Here is a 17,923-nt window from a genome sequence, read left to right on the forward strand (position 1 = left end):
AGAACATCAGTCTTATTCGTCATCACTCCCCCAACACCTAAAAGCAGACACACAGAAATATTAGTGAATAAATGAATGCTTTCCATATGTCGTATAAACCCTATATAATAGATGGTCAAAACCCACCCTATATAATAGATGGTCAAAACCCAAAGAAAGATAAATGAAAAGTTATTAAATGTTACAGAAAAATGAACACACCTTAACCACTTACCTTTCCTCCTGTGAGTAAAAGAGCTCCATTCCTAAGTCCTGCAACAAGAGACATCAGCTGCCGAGACAAAGGGCGTCCCAGGAGGCTGTGAGTGATGTGCTCCAAGGAGGATACGCCTAAGGAATTCACTCCTCTGTAAAAAATATACATAGTTACATGATAAAAGACTGAAGCAGGATAAAATTTAGCTATAAAAAAATGCTGAATTTTGCCTTCCCAGTGTAGTTAATTAATTTAATTTAATTTTTTATCTTTTTTTTTTTGAGAAAGGGGCTTGCTGTGTCATCCAGGCTGGAGCGCAGTGGTGTGAACCCAGCTCCCTGCAGCCTCAAACGCCCTGGCAAAGGTGATCCTCCTGCCTCAGCCTCCCGAGTAGCTGGGACTTCAGGAGTGTAACACCACACCCAGCTGATTGGGTTTTTTGTGTGTGCATTTGTTGTAGAGACGGGGTTTTGCCATGTTGCCCAGGCTAGTCTCCAACTCCTGGGCTCAAGTGATCCATCTGCCTCGGCCCCACAAAGTGCTGGGATTATAGACACAAGCCACCATGCTCAGACTAGTTAATAAATTTTAAAAGACTAAAATCTTAGAAATTGTCCCCTACTTGAGAGAAAGTATACTGATTAATGTCGAATCTGACTTCAAGCTTTTTTTTTTTTTTTTTTTTGAGACGGAGTCTTGCTCTGTCACCCAGGCTGGAGTGCAGTGGCATGATCTCGGCTCACTGCAACCTCTGCCTCCCAAGTTCGAGCAATTCTCCTGCCTTAGCCTCCCGAGTAGCTGGGATTACAGGTGCCCACCACCACACCTGGCTAATTTCTGTATTTTTAGTAGAGACAAGGTTTCACCATGTTGCTCAGGCTCGTCTCAAACTCCTGACCTCAAGTGATCCACCCGCCTTGGCCTCCCAAAGTGCTGGAATTACAGGTGTGAGCCACCGCGCCCAGCCTCCAAGCTTTTAAAATTAGTTTTATTACTTTTAAAATATGCAGTTACTAAAAGTTTTGCCCTAATAGAACTCCTTAAGGAATCTTAACACATAAAAAAACACCTCTAGCCCCCAAATGATTTAGTTTAGTAATCAACATAATCATAAATGGGTGCTTTTGAAGTACTGAGGATAACTAAAAACTTATTTTCTCTTAAACATTACCTATGAAATCCAGTATCAATCTGTAGATTATATTTTACAAACATGAACTTTAAACTACTTCTTGACTGTGACTGCCTGCCACTTTACATGATCACATGAGAGTCTGAAGAGATTTTACTTTATGCTGGGCACAGTGGTTCACGCCTGTAATCCCAGCACTTTGGGAGGCTGAGGCAGGCGGATCACTTGAGACCAGCCTGGCCAACATGGTGAAACCCCATCTCTACTAAAAATACAAAAAATTAGGCAGGTGTGGTGGTGCATGCTTGTAATCCCAGCTACTTAGGAGGCTGATGCGGAAGGATTGCTTGAACCCAGGAGGCGGAGGTTGCAATGAGCTGAGATTGCAACACTGCACTCCAGCCTGAGTGACAAAGTGAGAGTCCATCTCAAAAAAAAAAAAAGAGATTTTATTTTATATTAATAAACACTGTGCTATAAACATTTTGACTTTATCGTTTAATCCTTTTACTAAAACATTTACAGATTATACCATTCTAAGAAATCAAATCCCTACTACTACATCTACCAAAGCTTCTGTGGAGACTTCTAAGAGGTAGTGTTTATAAGAGATTCTCATATTATATAAGAAATATGGAAATTAAGAGGAGTTTAAAAAATATTTTTTATATTTTATCTAGCCCTACTTAATCAAAAGAGGAATTTTTTAAATATTTGTTTTAAAAGTTGAGAAAAACACAAATAATCCAAATTATTACAGTAATACAAGACAGTGAAGGAATAACTTAATTTGAAATATTTTTAAACATTCAACTAATGTTTTTGGCTTTAACTTTTAAAATGTATTTATTTGTTCTAAGAATTATTGTTTTATTCAAGCATATATGATCCACGTGATATCTAGTTGCTTTCTTCTCATCGATCAATTCTCAAAGTAAAATTTCTAATAAGCTTCAGACTTCTTGTTATCGAAGAAGACAAGGTTATCCCCTACCACCAGGGATGGATAAAAACATAAAAATAAAGAGAAAAAAAAAAAGACGACAAGGCAAATTATAAGCTAGGCGTGAAGATAGAGACAATCCTTGAAAAAATATCTACTGATGCATTATTAAGATCACTTATTGACATTAACATCTACTTTAATATTTACATTGAAAACTCTGCCAGATATAGTGTTAAAAACATGTCTAACATGCTAGTTTGGCCATAACTTCTTACCCCAAAGAGCTCAGCTTTAAAAAAGGAAGAATAAAGTCAATTTCCTCACTGTTTTCTTCTTTTACCATAGGATCTAGAAGGACCTACAGTTGCAAGGAAAAATCAGTTTTACATTTCAAAGTATGTCTTTTGCATGTTTTTCTCGGGTCCCAGAAAACTAAATTGCTGATTCTGTTATACCAGAGAGAATAAATTATGCATGCAAGATCATTATTTAAACACCCTTGACAATAACAATGTACCCATCCAGGGAATATAAATATTTATGGTCAACAAGCAGAAAGAATGTTATTGCCTTAATACATTTTACAGGTATATTTTTATCTATAATTTTGATTTGTGTCACAATTATCCTTTTCACAATTCTTACATTTGTATCTTCTCCAAATGGTATTCCTTCAATAACATTTCAAAAATAAAGAAACAATGTCTAGTTCCAAAACAATGAAATTCTAAATGACTAGAGTATCTTCAATTTTATGACAAGAATGAATGTCCTAATCAAAAAATAATATTGTAAAAAGACCACTCTTGGCTGGGTGTGGTGGTTTACACTTAGAATCCCAGCACTTTGGGAGGCTGAGGAGGGCAGATCACTTGAGGTCAGGAGTTCAAGAGCAGCCTGGCCAACATGGTGAAATCTCGTCTCTACTAAAACTACAAAAAATAGCAGGGCATGGTGGCATGCGCCTGTAATCCTAGCTACTAGGGAAGCTGAGGCAGGAGAATCACTTGAACCCAGGAGGTGGAGGTTGCAGTGAGCCGAGAGTGTGCCACTGCACTCCAGCCTGGGTGACAGAGTGAGACTCCATCTCAAAAAAAAAAAAAAGATGACTCTTAAAATACTTCTAGAATAGCTGGGCGCAGTGGCTCACACTTGTAATCCCACAACTTTGGGTGGGCAAGGCAGAACAACTGCTTGAACCCAGGAGTTCAAGACAATTCTGGGCAACATGGTGAAACCCTATCTCTACAAAACATACAAAAATTAGCCAGGCATCATGGCATTCGCCTGTGGTCCCAGCTACTTGGGAGGCTGAGGTGGGAGAATCACCTGAGCCTGGGAGGTCGAGGCTGCAGTGAGCCATGATCATGCCACTGCACTCCAGCCTGGGCGACAAAGTGAGACACCGTCTTTTAAAAAAAAAAAATAATAATATAATAATAAAAAAACTTATGGAAGCAAAGAAAAGTGATCTGATAATATTTCTGAAGAGTTGCGAATTTAAGAACTGTCAAAATAAGATGGGTTGTGCAGTAAAATTGCATGTAAAAATAGGAATTTAAAAAATCAAACCCTTAAAACTACGTTTTCATTTGTTTCAATCCTAGAAGAATTTTAAATCATGATCCATTTACCAGTTAACATGATCAACTCTATTCTTGGAACTTAATTGTGCTAAGGCATTCATTTTTAAATTTAGGTTAAGTCAATAATTTGTACAGATAATTTAAAGAGATTACAGAATAAAATATTTTAAATCAAGTTATTCCTTACTCTTAGCAGGTTTTTAATACACTTCACAATGCAAGGTGTTACAAGGAACTTCATACTTTATTATCAATCATATGTAACAAATAGTATTTTATTAAATATTCAATAACATGCTATTACTTGTATTGTAGTCTTCTGCAGCAAATTGGGACTCAACAGAAAAATATTTTTATCTTTTTCTTTTTCCCAAGAATGAACTATACTCAGAGAAAATTCCTTCAGTCCTATTAAAAAGAAAGTAATAAATGCAGAGTTAGTACTGAAACAGAGATGAAATAATTTAAGATTTTAAATGTCAAATTTATTTAAGTTAAAGACTTTTTTTTTTTTCCCCCCAACAGGGTCTCACTCTGCTGCCCAGGCTGGAGTGCAGTGGCAGGAACACAGACCTCCTGGGCTCAAGTGATCCTTCTGCCTCAGCCTCCCAAGTAGCTGGGACTACAGGCATACACCACTATGTCAGGCTAATTTTTGTATTTTTTTGTATAGATAGGGTTGCGCCATGTTGGCAGGCTGCTCTCGAACTCCTGGCCTCAAGTGATCCGCCTGCCTCGGCCTCCCAAAGTGCTGGGATTACAGGCATGAGCCACTGCACCCGGCCAAAGATATTTTTCAATACATAAAAACTACTGTTTAATTATCATAATTATATTTCACTATTCACATACTGTTCACAGGTATGACAGGTTGCAAGAACAATTAAAAATGTACAACTATTTAAATAGAAAAAAAAGTCAAAATAACAAATGTACTCACCATCTTTAGTTTCCAGCTTAATAAATTCTTCCTCTGATATTACCAAAGGAAGCATGGTGGTAGTAGACTGCTGTAGCCATGAATAAAATACAGTTTTTATGTCTTCTTCACTTATGTCTTTAGGCTGCCAGAAAAAGGAATAGTAATGAATTATCCTCATATCTGAACTTAACTTTAACACCCTTATTTTAACATCTGATCTTCCTAATAAAGTGTAAGCCTGACCAAACAAATCCAATGAAGGATGTTCATGTTCTATAGGCACAGGTCTGGGATTTGACATTACAGTTAGCACAATGAGTGCAGTGTAGCCTGAAGAAACATCTGTTAGGCGGAAAAGTTTTAAATGCTCCTTTTCTCTATGCCCAGTGATACATCTACCATAATGTGGCTCACTCAATAACCATTCCAACCCCATTCTCCCTTTCCTCCCTCTACGATAAAGACAGGAAAACAAATTCCTTTTTCTTTGAGACAGAATCTCGCTGTATCGCCCAGGCTGGAGTGCAGTGGCGCAGTCTCCACTCACTGCAACCTCTGCCTCCCGGGTTCAAGCGATTCGCTTGCCTCAGGCTCCCAAGTAGCTGGGATTATAGACATTGCAGCTAATTTTTGTATTTTTGGTAGACATGGGGTTTCACCATGTTGGCCAGGCTGGTCTCAAACTCCTGGCCTCAGGTGATCCGCCTGCCTTGGCCTTCCAAAGTGCTGGGATTACTGGCATGAGCCACCACGTCTGGCCTAATAATCTATTTAAAAAAATTTTTTTTGAGATATTGCCTAGGCTGGAGTGCAGTGGCACAATCATAGCTCACTGCAGTGTGGAACTCCTGGGCTCAAGAGATCCTCCCACTTCAGTCAGCCTCCTGAGTAGCTAGGACTACAGGCATGTGCCACCACATGTGTCTAATTTTTATTTTTACTTTTTTTGAAATAGAGTCTCGCTCTGTTACCCAGGCTGGAGTGCAGTGGTGAGATCTAGGCTCACTGCAACTTCCACCTCCTCAGTTCAAGTGGTTCTCCTGCCTCAGCCTCCTGAGTAGCTGAGATTACAGGATTAGCACCACGCCCCGATAATTTTGGTATTTTTAGTAGAGATGGGGTTTCACCATGTTGGCCAGGCTGGTCTCCAACTCCTGACCTCAAGTGATCCACCCATCTCAGCCTCCCGAAGTGTTGGGATAACAGGCGTGAGCTACCACGCCTGGCTTAATTTTTTTTTTAATTTTTTTGTAGAGATGGGGTCTTGCTATGTTGCCCAGGCTATTCTCAAACTCTTGGCCTCAAGCAATCCTCCCACCTCAGCTTCCCAAAGTGCTAGGATTACAGGTGTGAGCCACTGGACCCCACCTGCAAAGATCTTTAAGTTCAATATCTCATTTCCTGACTCTACCAGTATCCAAAGAATTAACTGAGTAAAAAGTAAAACAGTCTAGCACTCTTTTAGGCTACAATATTAATACTGAAACAACATGGGACAATTTTTTTTAATTACAACCACGTGGCAAAATGATCAATCTCTTAAAAGCCAAAAATATTCATATTTGCATTGGCAAATATAAGTATTTGTGTTATCATTTATTAAAGATTTCTCAGCTTCTCAAAAAGTTAAACATAATTCCTAGGTATATCCCAAAGGAGCTGAAAAGAGGAACTCAAACAGATACTTGTACACCAATGTTCACTGTAGCATTATTCACAGCAGCCAAAAATGTGGAAACAACCCAAGTGTCCATCAACAGATGAATGGATAAACAAATGTGGTATATGCAGTCAATGGAATAGTATTCAGCCATGAAAAGGAATAACATTCTGATACATACAACACAGATGAGCCTTGAAAACATTATGTTAAATGAAATAAGTCAGATACATAAGACAAATGCATACTTCTACTTATATATGAAATATCTAGAATAAGTAAATTCATAGAGACACAATATACATTAGAGATTACCAGGGACTGGGGAAAGGAGTGGACGGGGAATTATTGTTTAATGGGTACCAAGTTTCTCTTTGGGGTGATGGAAAAGTTCTGGATATAGATAGTGGTGATGGTTGTACAATATTATGAATGTAATTAATGCCTTTGAATTATACACTTAAAAATGGCGAACATGGCATATTTTATGTTATATATAGTTTAACACAATAAAAAAAGATTTGTATCAAAAAGGAATACAACATTCTTATTACTTAGCTAAAGCAACTAGAAATCTTACAAAACGTGTAAAAGAATTTTGATGTAACATATATATTTGAACTCACTAAATTCTCTCTAGGTTGTAACTTTAGAGATCTTGGAATTTTAGGGGTAACTTCCACTGGAGTTATCCTGACTACGGCATGCATTTCTATATTTAGTCTCTTCCTCAGGTCATCTGGAATCTGAAATTTAAAAATAAACAAAAATATAAATATATTCAAAGCTTGGTTAAGAAATATTTCATAGCATAAATATTGATATATTAGCTTCTATGAATTTAGGTGAAATAACAGAAGCTATCATAATAACTCATAGTTGTCTCAGTCCATGCAGGCTGCTATATCAAAATATCCTAAACTGGGTGGCTAACAAACGACAGAAACTTATTTCTCACAGTTCTCTTTTATAAGAGCACGAATCCCATTCATGAAGGCTTCACCTTCATGACCTAATCACTTCCCAAAGACCACACCTCCTAATACGATCACCTTGGGAGTTGGGATTTCGACATATGAATTTGAGGAGGACAAAACATTCAAATACCAACGGTGTGACCAGATGGATGTTCAGATATTGTTATACCATGAACATTTCAATCCTCTCCCTACATTTCTTTCCTTTTCTTTACATAATCTTCAGAATTAGAGCTTTAAATGTATGTATTTGACTGTATTCACCAAACCCATCTTTTAAACTATGGCACATTTACATTCAAATTAAATGTTATTTCTAATCTTTGAGCAGCCTTTATTTGTGAAAGTTAACAACCAATGAAGAAGCTGGAATGGCCAAAACTAATCACAGACAATCTGCCTGATTGTCTGATTAAATGATTAGATCCAGACAGAAACTTAATCTAAAAAGCAGAGTAAAATTTCTCCCACCCCCTAATGAAAATGTTCTAAACTTAGATTGTGGTGATGGCTGTACAACTAGTATAAATATACTAAAAATGACTGAATTGTACACTTTAAATTTTACCTCAGCCGGGCGCAGTGGCTCACGCCTGTAATCCCAGCACTTTGGGAGGCCGAGGTGGGCGGATCACAAGGTCAGGAGTTTGAGACCAGCGTGGCCAATATGGTGAAACCTCGTCTCTACTAAAACTACAAAAATTAGCCAGGCGTGGTGGTGGGAGCCTGTATCCTAGCTACTCGGGAGGCTGAGGCAAGAGAATCGCTTGAACCTGGGAGGCAGAGCTTGCATTGAGTGGAGATCGCCACCACACTCCGGCCTGGGCGACAGAGTGAGACTCCGTCTCAAGAAAAAAAAAAAAATTATCTATATATATATATATATATATATATATATATATATATATATATATATATATATATCAATAATGATGTTAAAAATTTTTCTCAACTTCCCAAATATAAGTAAGCACTGAAAGACATAAAGACGACTTTACTCTCTATTAACTTCTAAAGAGCAGGTGCAGACATATTAATGGTAGACAAAAGCATAAATAAAAACTCTAAGGTACATATTCTGACTTAAAGAGAATTTAACAATCAAGTTTCCTGTTTGTTTGTTGTTTTTTTTTAATCACCATGCTTCACAGGGTAATAAAGGTTCAAGTTAACATGAATTTGTTAGTTGTATCACCAAGTGATCAATTTTGATCTCTCAAGCCAAGTCCATTTTAGTACCTGATTTCACCTACTGTGACTTCTCATTGTCCATGGCTCTTCAACCTTCAGTGGAGTGGGAAGGGCGGAGTCCTTATTGCTATCTTAATCACAGGACTTTACCATCAGCACTTCTCCCTGTTCTCACCATATAATTTCAAGGAAATAAAAGGATATTCCCATCTAATGACAGAACCAGCTAAATCATAAGCTCAGTGTTAGATATTTTGAATTTGAGGATGCAGTGGGATCTCCTGAACGGACAGTTTAAAGCTAACAGAAAATAATGATCTGAGGCCAGGCACAGTGGCTCACGCCTGTAATCCCAGCACCTTGGGAGACTGAGGCAGGCGGATCACTTGAGACCAGGAGTTCAAGACTAGCCTGGCCAACATGGTGAAACCTCGTCCCTACTAAAAATACAAAAATTAGCCAGGAGTGGTGGCGCACACTTGTAGTCCCAGCTACTCTGAAGGCTGAGGCAGGAGAATCATTTGAACCTGGGAGGTGGAGGTTGTAGTGAGTGGAGGTGGTGCCACTGCACTCCAGCCTGGGCAACAAAGCAAGCTTCTAACTCAAAAAAAGAAAAGAAAAGAGAAGAGAAGAGAAGAGAAGAGAAGAGAAGAGAAGAGAAGAGAAAAAAGAAAAGAAAAGAAAAGAAAAGAAAAGAAAAGAAAAGAAAAGAAAAGAAAAGAATGGTCTGGAGCTTTAGAAAATGATGTAGGCCGGCCAGGAGCAGTGGCTCATGCCTGTAATCCCAGCACTTTGGGAGGCCGAGGCAGGCAGATCACCTGAGGTCAGGAGTTCCAGACCAGGCTGGCTAACATGGTGAAACCCAGTTTCTACTAAAAATACAAAAAATTAGCCAGGCGTGGTGGTGCATGCCTGTAGTCCCAGCTACTCAGGAGGCTGAGGCAGGAGAACCACTTGAACGTGGGAGGCGGAGGTTGCAGTGAGCCAGATCATGCCACTGCACTCCAGCTTGGGCAAGAAGAGTGAAACTCCATCTTGTGGAAAAAAAAAATAGAAAAGAAAATGATGTAGGCCAAAGAGATTAATGCTTTGTCAGTTATTTGTATAAAGGTCACAGGTAAAACTGTTGGAGAAAAAAAAAAAATCTACAAAAGGAGACAACCTTCTCTTTCTATTTTATTCTCTTTCCTAACAAGTTCCTCTCTTTATCACTATGAAGTCTTACTTTACAGTGGTTCAAATTTAGGTTCCAATAAATGGACTAGTGACTTATGTCATATAAAGGTAGCATTAATATTTGTGGCCAGGATGAGGGGCTGGAGCACTAGTTGCCCTGTCTACTTCCTCTCCGTTATACACAAATTAAAGAGCAGACACCGGCAGGGTAAGCAGCTCCTGGATGCATTCCAATCCAGGTGCCACCACATGCAGCAGGAAGGTTACCTCATGCCATGGATCTCTCCCTACACTGGCCCTTTTCCCTAATATTAACAAGTTGCTTTCGGTAACTGGGGAACAAATCTGCAAGCATTAAAGATGGGAGGCTTTGTAGGGCACTCCATCCTGATGAACCCCCAAGTCAATCTGCCTGGGTTTGAATCCTAGTTGTAACACTAGCTATGCAATCTCAGGCAAGTAATTTTGACCTCTCTGGCCTGAACCTATCTAAGCTTGTACCTATTCAAGCTTACTTGGCCAGAAAACATACAATCTTTATCCAAACAAGGACTTTACTGCAAAGCGTAAATGTGTCCCCCAAGTGCCTTTAGGCACTGTGTTTCTTTTTAATTGATTTTCAATTTATATATGAAATACTATTCTAATTCATAATTTGGGGATGTTTAAGCCACATAAAATTTCTCCCAAGTTATAAAATTTATACTAACCCAGACTTTCCCAAGATGGAGAACTTCTACATTTTTGGTATATTTGATGGCATTGTTCAATTCTTCAAGTCCATTCCAGACTACTTGTAGCACACAGGCCTTCTCATCTTCTTCATTATGATCTGACCTAATTTTTTTTTGATCTAGTGGCTCTGACATCTGCTTCTCTTTTTCAGGTGATAACACATTTTGTTTTGTTTTACTTTGCTGTTGCTTTGGAGAAAGTAGCTTAACTAGCTTTCCATATGTCACAGTAAAGCTGGGCTCTACATCAAAATATTCCTGGTCCCATGGAAATACATGAATGGCACAGTGTTTATGAAAAACAGAGGTTGCTGACGCGTTATATATACTAGGAGGTTGAGATTTGCATACTCTGAAAATATTGTCTAGAGGAACAACCTTTGACTGCATATTTTTGAATGCATTGATTTCAGTTAAACCCCAAGATGTCTCTTGTTTCTTCTCAGATTGAAAGGAAAAAATGCTTCCTATCATAGTCCATAAACTTGCTACTGATGATGAGTCAACTGGAATCTCTGACTCGTTTTCATTAGATTCAGTGATTCCCACAGTATTTGACTGAAGTTGCTTGGTTTGAAGTTCTTTCATCATTCCTTTCTGGTCTCTTCCATAACTATGAAGTTTTTTATATTCAGCATCAGCTTTTGAAAATGTATTCTCTTTGGCTCGGCGTGTCTTTGGCTGAATAAGGAGTTTGGTGTCAGTTTCCAGCCTTCCATAAGAGGCAGCTGGTATTAGTGCAACTGTGTAGAAAATAAAGCTCATTAGTGCACATTCATTTCTACTTTGGACTCAATGCTATAGTGTAGAATATGACAGCAAATATTACAATAGCACCTACCAATTTGGATAAATATGTACGTTTGTTGATCAACCCAAACAGGAAAAATGGCTTTTGGAAAAACTATTCGAATTTGATCTAGAAGATGTTGTTCAAGGGAAACAGCATGCAGCTCCTAGAACCAACAGACGAAAAGATCAATTCACTTTACATTTTGTCCACTCCATATCTAGTTAAAAAAAATCTCAATTCTTTTTTTAAAAAACAAATTTTAATGTGCATATTTAATATACACGACATGGTGTTATGAGCTACATATAGATAGTATAATGGTTACTATAGTGAAGTAAATTAACATATACATCATCTCACAGTTACCCACTTTTGTGTTTTTGTGGTAAGAGTAGTTAAAATCTACTCATTTAACATGAATCCCCAATACAATTTTATTACCTATAGTTGTCAGGTTGTACATTAGATCTCTATCAATTCATTCTTTTTTTATTTGAGACAAGGTCTCACTCTGTTTTCCAGACTGGAGTACAATGGCAAGATCCTGACTCACTGCAGCCTTGACTTTACGGGCTCAAGCGATTCTCCTGCCTCAGCCTCCCAAGTGACTGGGACTAATGGCATGCACTACCATGCCTGGCTAATTTTTGTATTTTTAGTAGATACGGGGTTTCACCATGTTGCCCAGCCTGGTCTTGAACTCCTGGACTCAAGCAATCCACCTGCCTTGGCCTCCCAAAGTGCTGGGACTATAGGCATGAGCTACTGTGCCTGGCCCCAATTCATTCTTATAATTCAAAACCAACTCAGAATATATAATAAAGCTTAGAGAAAGCTAAAGACATTGATATTGTGAAGTAATTTAACCTTAAATGAGATAGTTCTTATTTGGTTTTCTTTACCAGTATCTCCCAATCATCTGCTGAGAGGGGTTCCACCTCAACTTGTTGACAAGATACCACATGGGAACATGGCTTGAGAAATACCTAGAAAAAATTAAAAATTTAAAACTACTTTAAAAAAACTTTTCTGTGTCATATATTAGAAAATAAGAAGTTATCTTCTTACCATTTTAGGTTAAGTAGATGTGTGTGTATGTTTTGGATGGGGGTGTATATGTAGTCTATGTAATCTTTCTTTTCTGTTTTGAGAGATGGGGCCTGGCTCTGTCACCCATTCTGGAGTAGAGTGGTACAATCATAGTTCACTGCAGCCTGGAAACCCTGGGCTCAAGCAATCCTCCTGCCTCAGCCTCCTGGGTAGCTGGGAAAACAGGTGCAAGCCACTGCACCTGGCTATATGTGTAGTCTTTCATGTGGCAAATATTTATTACTTATTCTTAGCCAAGACTTGATATACTCAGCATTTTAGGAAAAACTGTTTCATAACTAATTACAGAATGAAGAAAAATACATCTCAGCATGACATGTTTTTCAAAAATGAAAGTAATCATTAAAATGTAAAAATGTAAGTAAAAAATATAAGAAGAAATGACTATATCATCAAGTTATGGCTTGATCTAATATATAAATATTCTCATTATTTCTAGAAGTTTTGCAACAGACATGCTGCTTCAAGAAAAGTGAAAAATACACTGAAATAGACACTGGAGACAAATATTGAGAAGTATAATCCTTCACAGTTGAAAGTTAAGTAAAACTAATAATACCCTCCTATTATAGTTTAAATATATGTAACACTAGTATGTCTATAAGCTGGAGTCACCATCTTACTTCCTTTCCCCTTCCATAGGCATTTCCAAGGATTAAAGGAGTAAAATCCAAAGCCTCTGCATGTTAAATACTCTAGGTAACCAACCCTTCCTCTCTGCTTTTGTGGACTGGAGCAGGATTTCCCTGAGTGCCTCACCCCCAGACTCCTCAGTAGATTTCTCTTCAATATCTCCCTTACTGAAAAGGATGATTCTGAGCAAGCACAAAGCAGCTCCTGCCCACCAAGAAGCTAGAGACTCAGTTTCTTAGTGGCATTGCTGCAATAAGGGATCTAAAAAAATCAGGTAAAGTCACTTCAAAGCAAATGGGAGTTAAAAACAAGTAGGATTCTTCAGAGTACTAATTAAGACTTGAAAATCAGGAAGTTGATGTTGCCCACAGGGAAGTGCTGGGTACTCAGAGGGCAGAACTGTAACCTGCTAAGCAATCCTGGGTAAAATATTCCATCTCCTTGTATTGTAGAACAAAGCACCAAAGTTAATGATTTCTAAGGTCCGTCTGGTGCTAAAATTTTAAGATTCTAGCAACAATTTAGAGTATGCAAGGGACTAGTGTTAGGTTTACAGATTTCTCATGAGTAGCCTATTCTCATCAAAAAACATGCATAAACAAGATTAGTCTGTGCTCAAAACAAGTTAAAAAGACATGGCACTCTCGTGTATTGTCATGGGAAATTAGTAATAGAGAGCAATGTAGCCCCATCTATATAAGTTTTAAACGTATAGCACCCTTGGCTATTCTGTTTTTAAATGTTTCAGTCCACATATATATCTGATTCTGAGAAAGCACAAAGCAGCTCCTGCCCCCTAAGAAGCTAAGGACTCCTGGCCTAGCCAGTCCACTTTCTGTTCCTATCAGTGATTCTTCAGGAGATAGTGTCTTACTGGCAGGGCTGCAACAGAGGATCATGAAGACGCACACAGAGAGAGAGAGAAAGAGAGAGACATGTTAAATGCACATTGTTTGTAATACATGGAAAGGTATCTGAAATATTTTGTGGGGTAATAATTGCAGAAAATATGAATGATCTCATTCTTCCAATCCTAAAGGTCTACTGAGATCCCCATTCTGAGGATGGGACTGGGAAAAGGTAAAAACTCATTTTTTACTTTCAATGGTAAAATAGTTATAATGAATATGTATTATTACTACATCTTCTTCTTTTAAGAGATAGGGTCTTGCTATTGCCCGGGCTGGAGTGCATAATCATAGGTCACTCAAATTCCTGGTCTCAAGCATTCCTCCTACCTCAGTCTGCTGAGTAGCTGGGACTACAAGCATTTGCTACCATGCCCAGCTAATTTTTTTAATTTTTTTATAGAGATAGGGTCTTGCTATGTTGCCTAGCCAGGCTAATCTTGAACTCGTGGCCTCAAGTGGTCCTCCCACCTTGGCCTCCCAAAGCACTGGGATTACAGGCATAAGCCATTGAGCCCAGCCTCACATTATTCTTACAGTTTAGAAAATGTTTAAAGGAATAACTTGATAAACATAAGAAAACAAAAGATAGACATAGGTATTCAAGCTTTCAGGTTTATAATCTAAACATATTAAACTCATAAGGGAAAACAAAAATGGAAAAATAATAACCCTGTGTTGTAGAATTTTTTATTTTTTATTTTTTTTCAAGACATTGTTTCGCTCTTGTCACCCAGCTGAAGTGCAGCAGTGCAATCTCAGCTCACTGCAACCTCCACCTCCCAGGTTCAAGCAATTCTCCTGCCTCAGCCTCCTGAGTAGCTGGGATTACAGGCACCTGCCACCATGCCCAGCTAATTTTTGAATTTTTAGTAGAGAGGGGGGGTTTCACCACGTTGGGCAGGCTGGTCTCCAACTCCTGACCTCAAATTATCCGCCCACCTTGGCCTCCCAAAGTGCTGGGATTATAGGTGTGAGCCACCGCACCCAGCTGAATTTTTTATTTTTAATCAAGTGAGACCATGGAAGGTTATAAAATATGTCAGAAATAAAGTTTAATAATAGTAAGTAGAACCTAGTAATTCAGAAGGAAAAATAATTTCATGAAACCAAAATTAGGGGATGTGGAAAATGAGTTAAATAGTAGAATAAGAAGCAAGTAGGGAGTATGGTAAACTACAAGATAATGACCTAAAAACAGAGTATAGTCAGCTTCAATATCCTAGACTAGTTACATAATAGCATACAAATTAGGTGACATCTCACCTCCTTTAACAAAAAATCTAAACTTTTAATTTTATTTCTATTGCTATATTATGTGATATTAGAAGAAAGTTATTGCCATCACATGTGCTTACCTGTCCCCCATTTGAGAGTCCAAGTTTTTGACCAACTTGTCTGTTAATTTCAGCCACATTTTCACCTTGATCACTAAAATGCCTGCCTTCCACCCAGCTCAAGAATGCAGGCTGGTGACTCCAGACCACTTCTATAGCTTGATTCTATTCATATAAGAAATGAGAGGAAAAAAGGTTTTCGTATACATTTTTCTGGATTCACATGAAAATAAACTATTATTACAATTCACATGTCCAAAAAGAGTTCTATAGATAGTTCTCTGTTATCTACATTTGTTGTAGCATTTAAAAATCTATAATCATTTCCAACACCCAATGCTGGTGGATGCTAATGAAGCCAATACCCTTATATTCTTATGGCAGCATTATAAATTTAATCAACCCCTTCAGAATTCAAAATGGCAGCAGTCAGTCAATAAACTTAAATAGCAGTTGAGCCACATATAACTATTTGAGCATTTATTCCCAATTAACGATTCAAAGAAAAAAGAAACTATAGCAAAAGCTATCTGTGCAGTATTTTCTATGATAGTGAACACTTGAGACTGTCTTAAATGTCTATCAATAGGGAAATTATTAAATAAGATATAAATTTACTATTTTAACATATACGTTAATAAGTAGAAACACATATCATCTTTAAAAATGTAGCAATATAATTTTAGAATTATGAAACACCAACCAGATGGAGTATACAATCCATATTTATTTACTTATTTATTGGAAGAATAATAAATGCATGTGGCAAAAGCACAAAACGTACAAAAGGGTAAAATGTGAAGCCATGTCTCTGTTCTCAGAGGTAATTACTGCTGTTTCTTCTGTACCCTTCCAGAAACGTTATATTATGCAGCCTCTTAATAATTGTAAGGGCTCATATAACTATGGGAATATAGGTTTTAAAAAAGCAAAATATAACATTTATTCTCATTAAAAAAGCAATTACATTAAAACATGTAAGTTTGTGGCCAAGGACCAAAAAAGGGTTTTCTATGATTAAACAATTACAAACTCATTATAGAGACCTCGGAAAACATATAAACTTGGAAGGAAACAAATGAACTACTGATATTCTCTCCACAAACAAGACAACCATGTGAACAATTTGGTCTATTTCTTGTTAATCCTTTTCTCTATGTGCAAGTTTTTCATATAGTTGTGTTCATATAGGCACAATTTAATATCCTTTTCCACTACTTATATTGCATCATAAGCATTTTCGAACTTTTTTTTTTTTTGAGACAGGATTTTGCTCTGTTGCCCAGGCTGGAGTGCACTGGCACAATCATAGGTCACTGTAACTTGAAACTCCTGGGCTCTAGCAATCCTCTCACCTCAGTCTCCTGAGTAGCTGGGAATATAGGCATACACCACCACACCTAGCCATTTTTTTTTTCTATAGAGATGGGATCTCACTATGTTGCTTAGGCTGGTCTTAAGCTCCTGGTCTCAAGTGATCCTCCCACCTCGGCCTCCCAAACTGTCGGGATTACAGGCATGAGCCACCATGCCCAGCCACATATATCATTTTTAAAATAAAAATAATTTTATTAATATGTATCAATAATAAATTTTAAAAATCAGCCAGGTGTGGTGGCATACGCCTGTGGTCCCATCTACTCAGGAAGCCGAGGTGGGAGGATCACTTGAGTCAGGGAGGTTGAGGCTACAGTGAGCCATGATAGTGCCATTACACTCCAGTCTGGGCAACAGAGTGAGAACCCGTCACACACACAAAAAGACTTATTATATCAGGAAGCTTCAGTGTTATTAATTTATTTATATCAAAATAAATTCATTAAGTTAAAAATATTAGGCCAGGTGCAGTGGCTCACATGTGTAATCTTTATACTTTGGGAGACTGAGACAGGAGGATTGTTTGAGCCCAGAAGTTCAAAGCCAGCCTGGGCAACATGGCAAGATCTACATCTCTACAGAACAGTTTTCATAATTTAAAATATTAAATATCAAATTCATTCATTTACATGCAATTTTTTTTTTCCTGAGACAGGATCTCACTGTGTTGCCCAGGCTCGAGTACAGTGGCAAAATCACGGCTCACTGCAGCCTTAACCTCCTGGGCTCAAGTGATCTTCCCACCTCAGTCTCTCAAAGTGCTGGGATTACAGGCATGAGCCAACATGCCCAGTCTTTATGTTTCTTGCTTTTTTTTTTTTTTTTCTTGAGACGGAGACTCACTCTGTCACCCAGGCTGGAGGGCAGTGGCACAATCTCGGCTCACTGCAACCTCCACCTCCCAGATTCAAGCAATTCTCCTGCCTCAGCCTCCCAAGTAGCTGGGATTACAGGCCCCCACCAAATGCCCGGCTAATTTTTGTATTTTTAGTAGAGATGGGGTTTTACCATGTTGGCCAGGCTGGTCTCGAACTCCTGACCTCAGGTGATCTGCCTGCCTCAGCCTCCCAAAGTGCTGGGATTACAGGCGTGAGCCACCATAGCCAGCTTATGTTTCTTTAAATGAGACAAATTTCAAACAATGTTGGAGCCACTTCTGGGACAATATAACGTACTGGAAATTAACCATGTTATTACAATTTTATATTTAAGAAAGCCATCATCATGTATCACTTAGTTGTGTAA

General features: G+C 38.2%; 1 protein-coding gene across 5 annotated transcripts in view; it reads right to left on the minus strand.

Annotated features, from left to right (window-relative positions):
* PEX1 (peroxisomal biogenesis factor 1) overlaps positions 1-17,923 on the minus strand; it is a 41,496-nt gene that overhangs the window by 19,755 nt on the left and 3,818 nt on the right. For 3 of the 5 annotated variants that reach the window (NM_001282677.2, NM_000466.3, XM_047420472.1), the window contains exons 2-10: positions 15,323-15,466; positions 12,216-12,299; positions 11,362-11,476; positions 10,497-11,263; positions 7,069-7,188; positions 4,801-4,924; positions 4,165-4,268; positions 2,550-2,632; positions 215-347 (exon numbers count right to left, since the gene is read on the minus strand). In NM_001282677.2, the coding sequence (NP_001269606.1) occupies positions 215-347; positions 2,550-2,632; positions 4,165-4,268; positions 4,801-4,924; positions 7,069-7,188; positions 10,497-11,263; positions 11,362-11,476; positions 12,216-12,299; positions 15,323-15,466 (1,674 nt within the window). Of the gene's footprint in view, positions 1-214; positions 348-2,549; positions 2,633-4,164; positions 4,269-4,800; positions 4,925-7,068; positions 7,189-10,496; positions 11,264-11,361; positions 11,477-12,180; positions 12,300-15,322; positions 15,467-17,923 lie in introns of those variants that run through there. The other 2 variants (NM_001282678.2, XM_047420473.1) reach the window with 2 other exon arrangements.

The sequence above is a fragment of the Homo sapiens genome, chromosome 7, assembly GCF_000001405.40.
Source record: "Homo sapiens chromosome 7, GRCh38.p14 Primary Assembly".
NCBI lineage: Eukaryota > Metazoa > Chordata > Mammalia > Primates > Hominidae > Homo > Homo sapiens.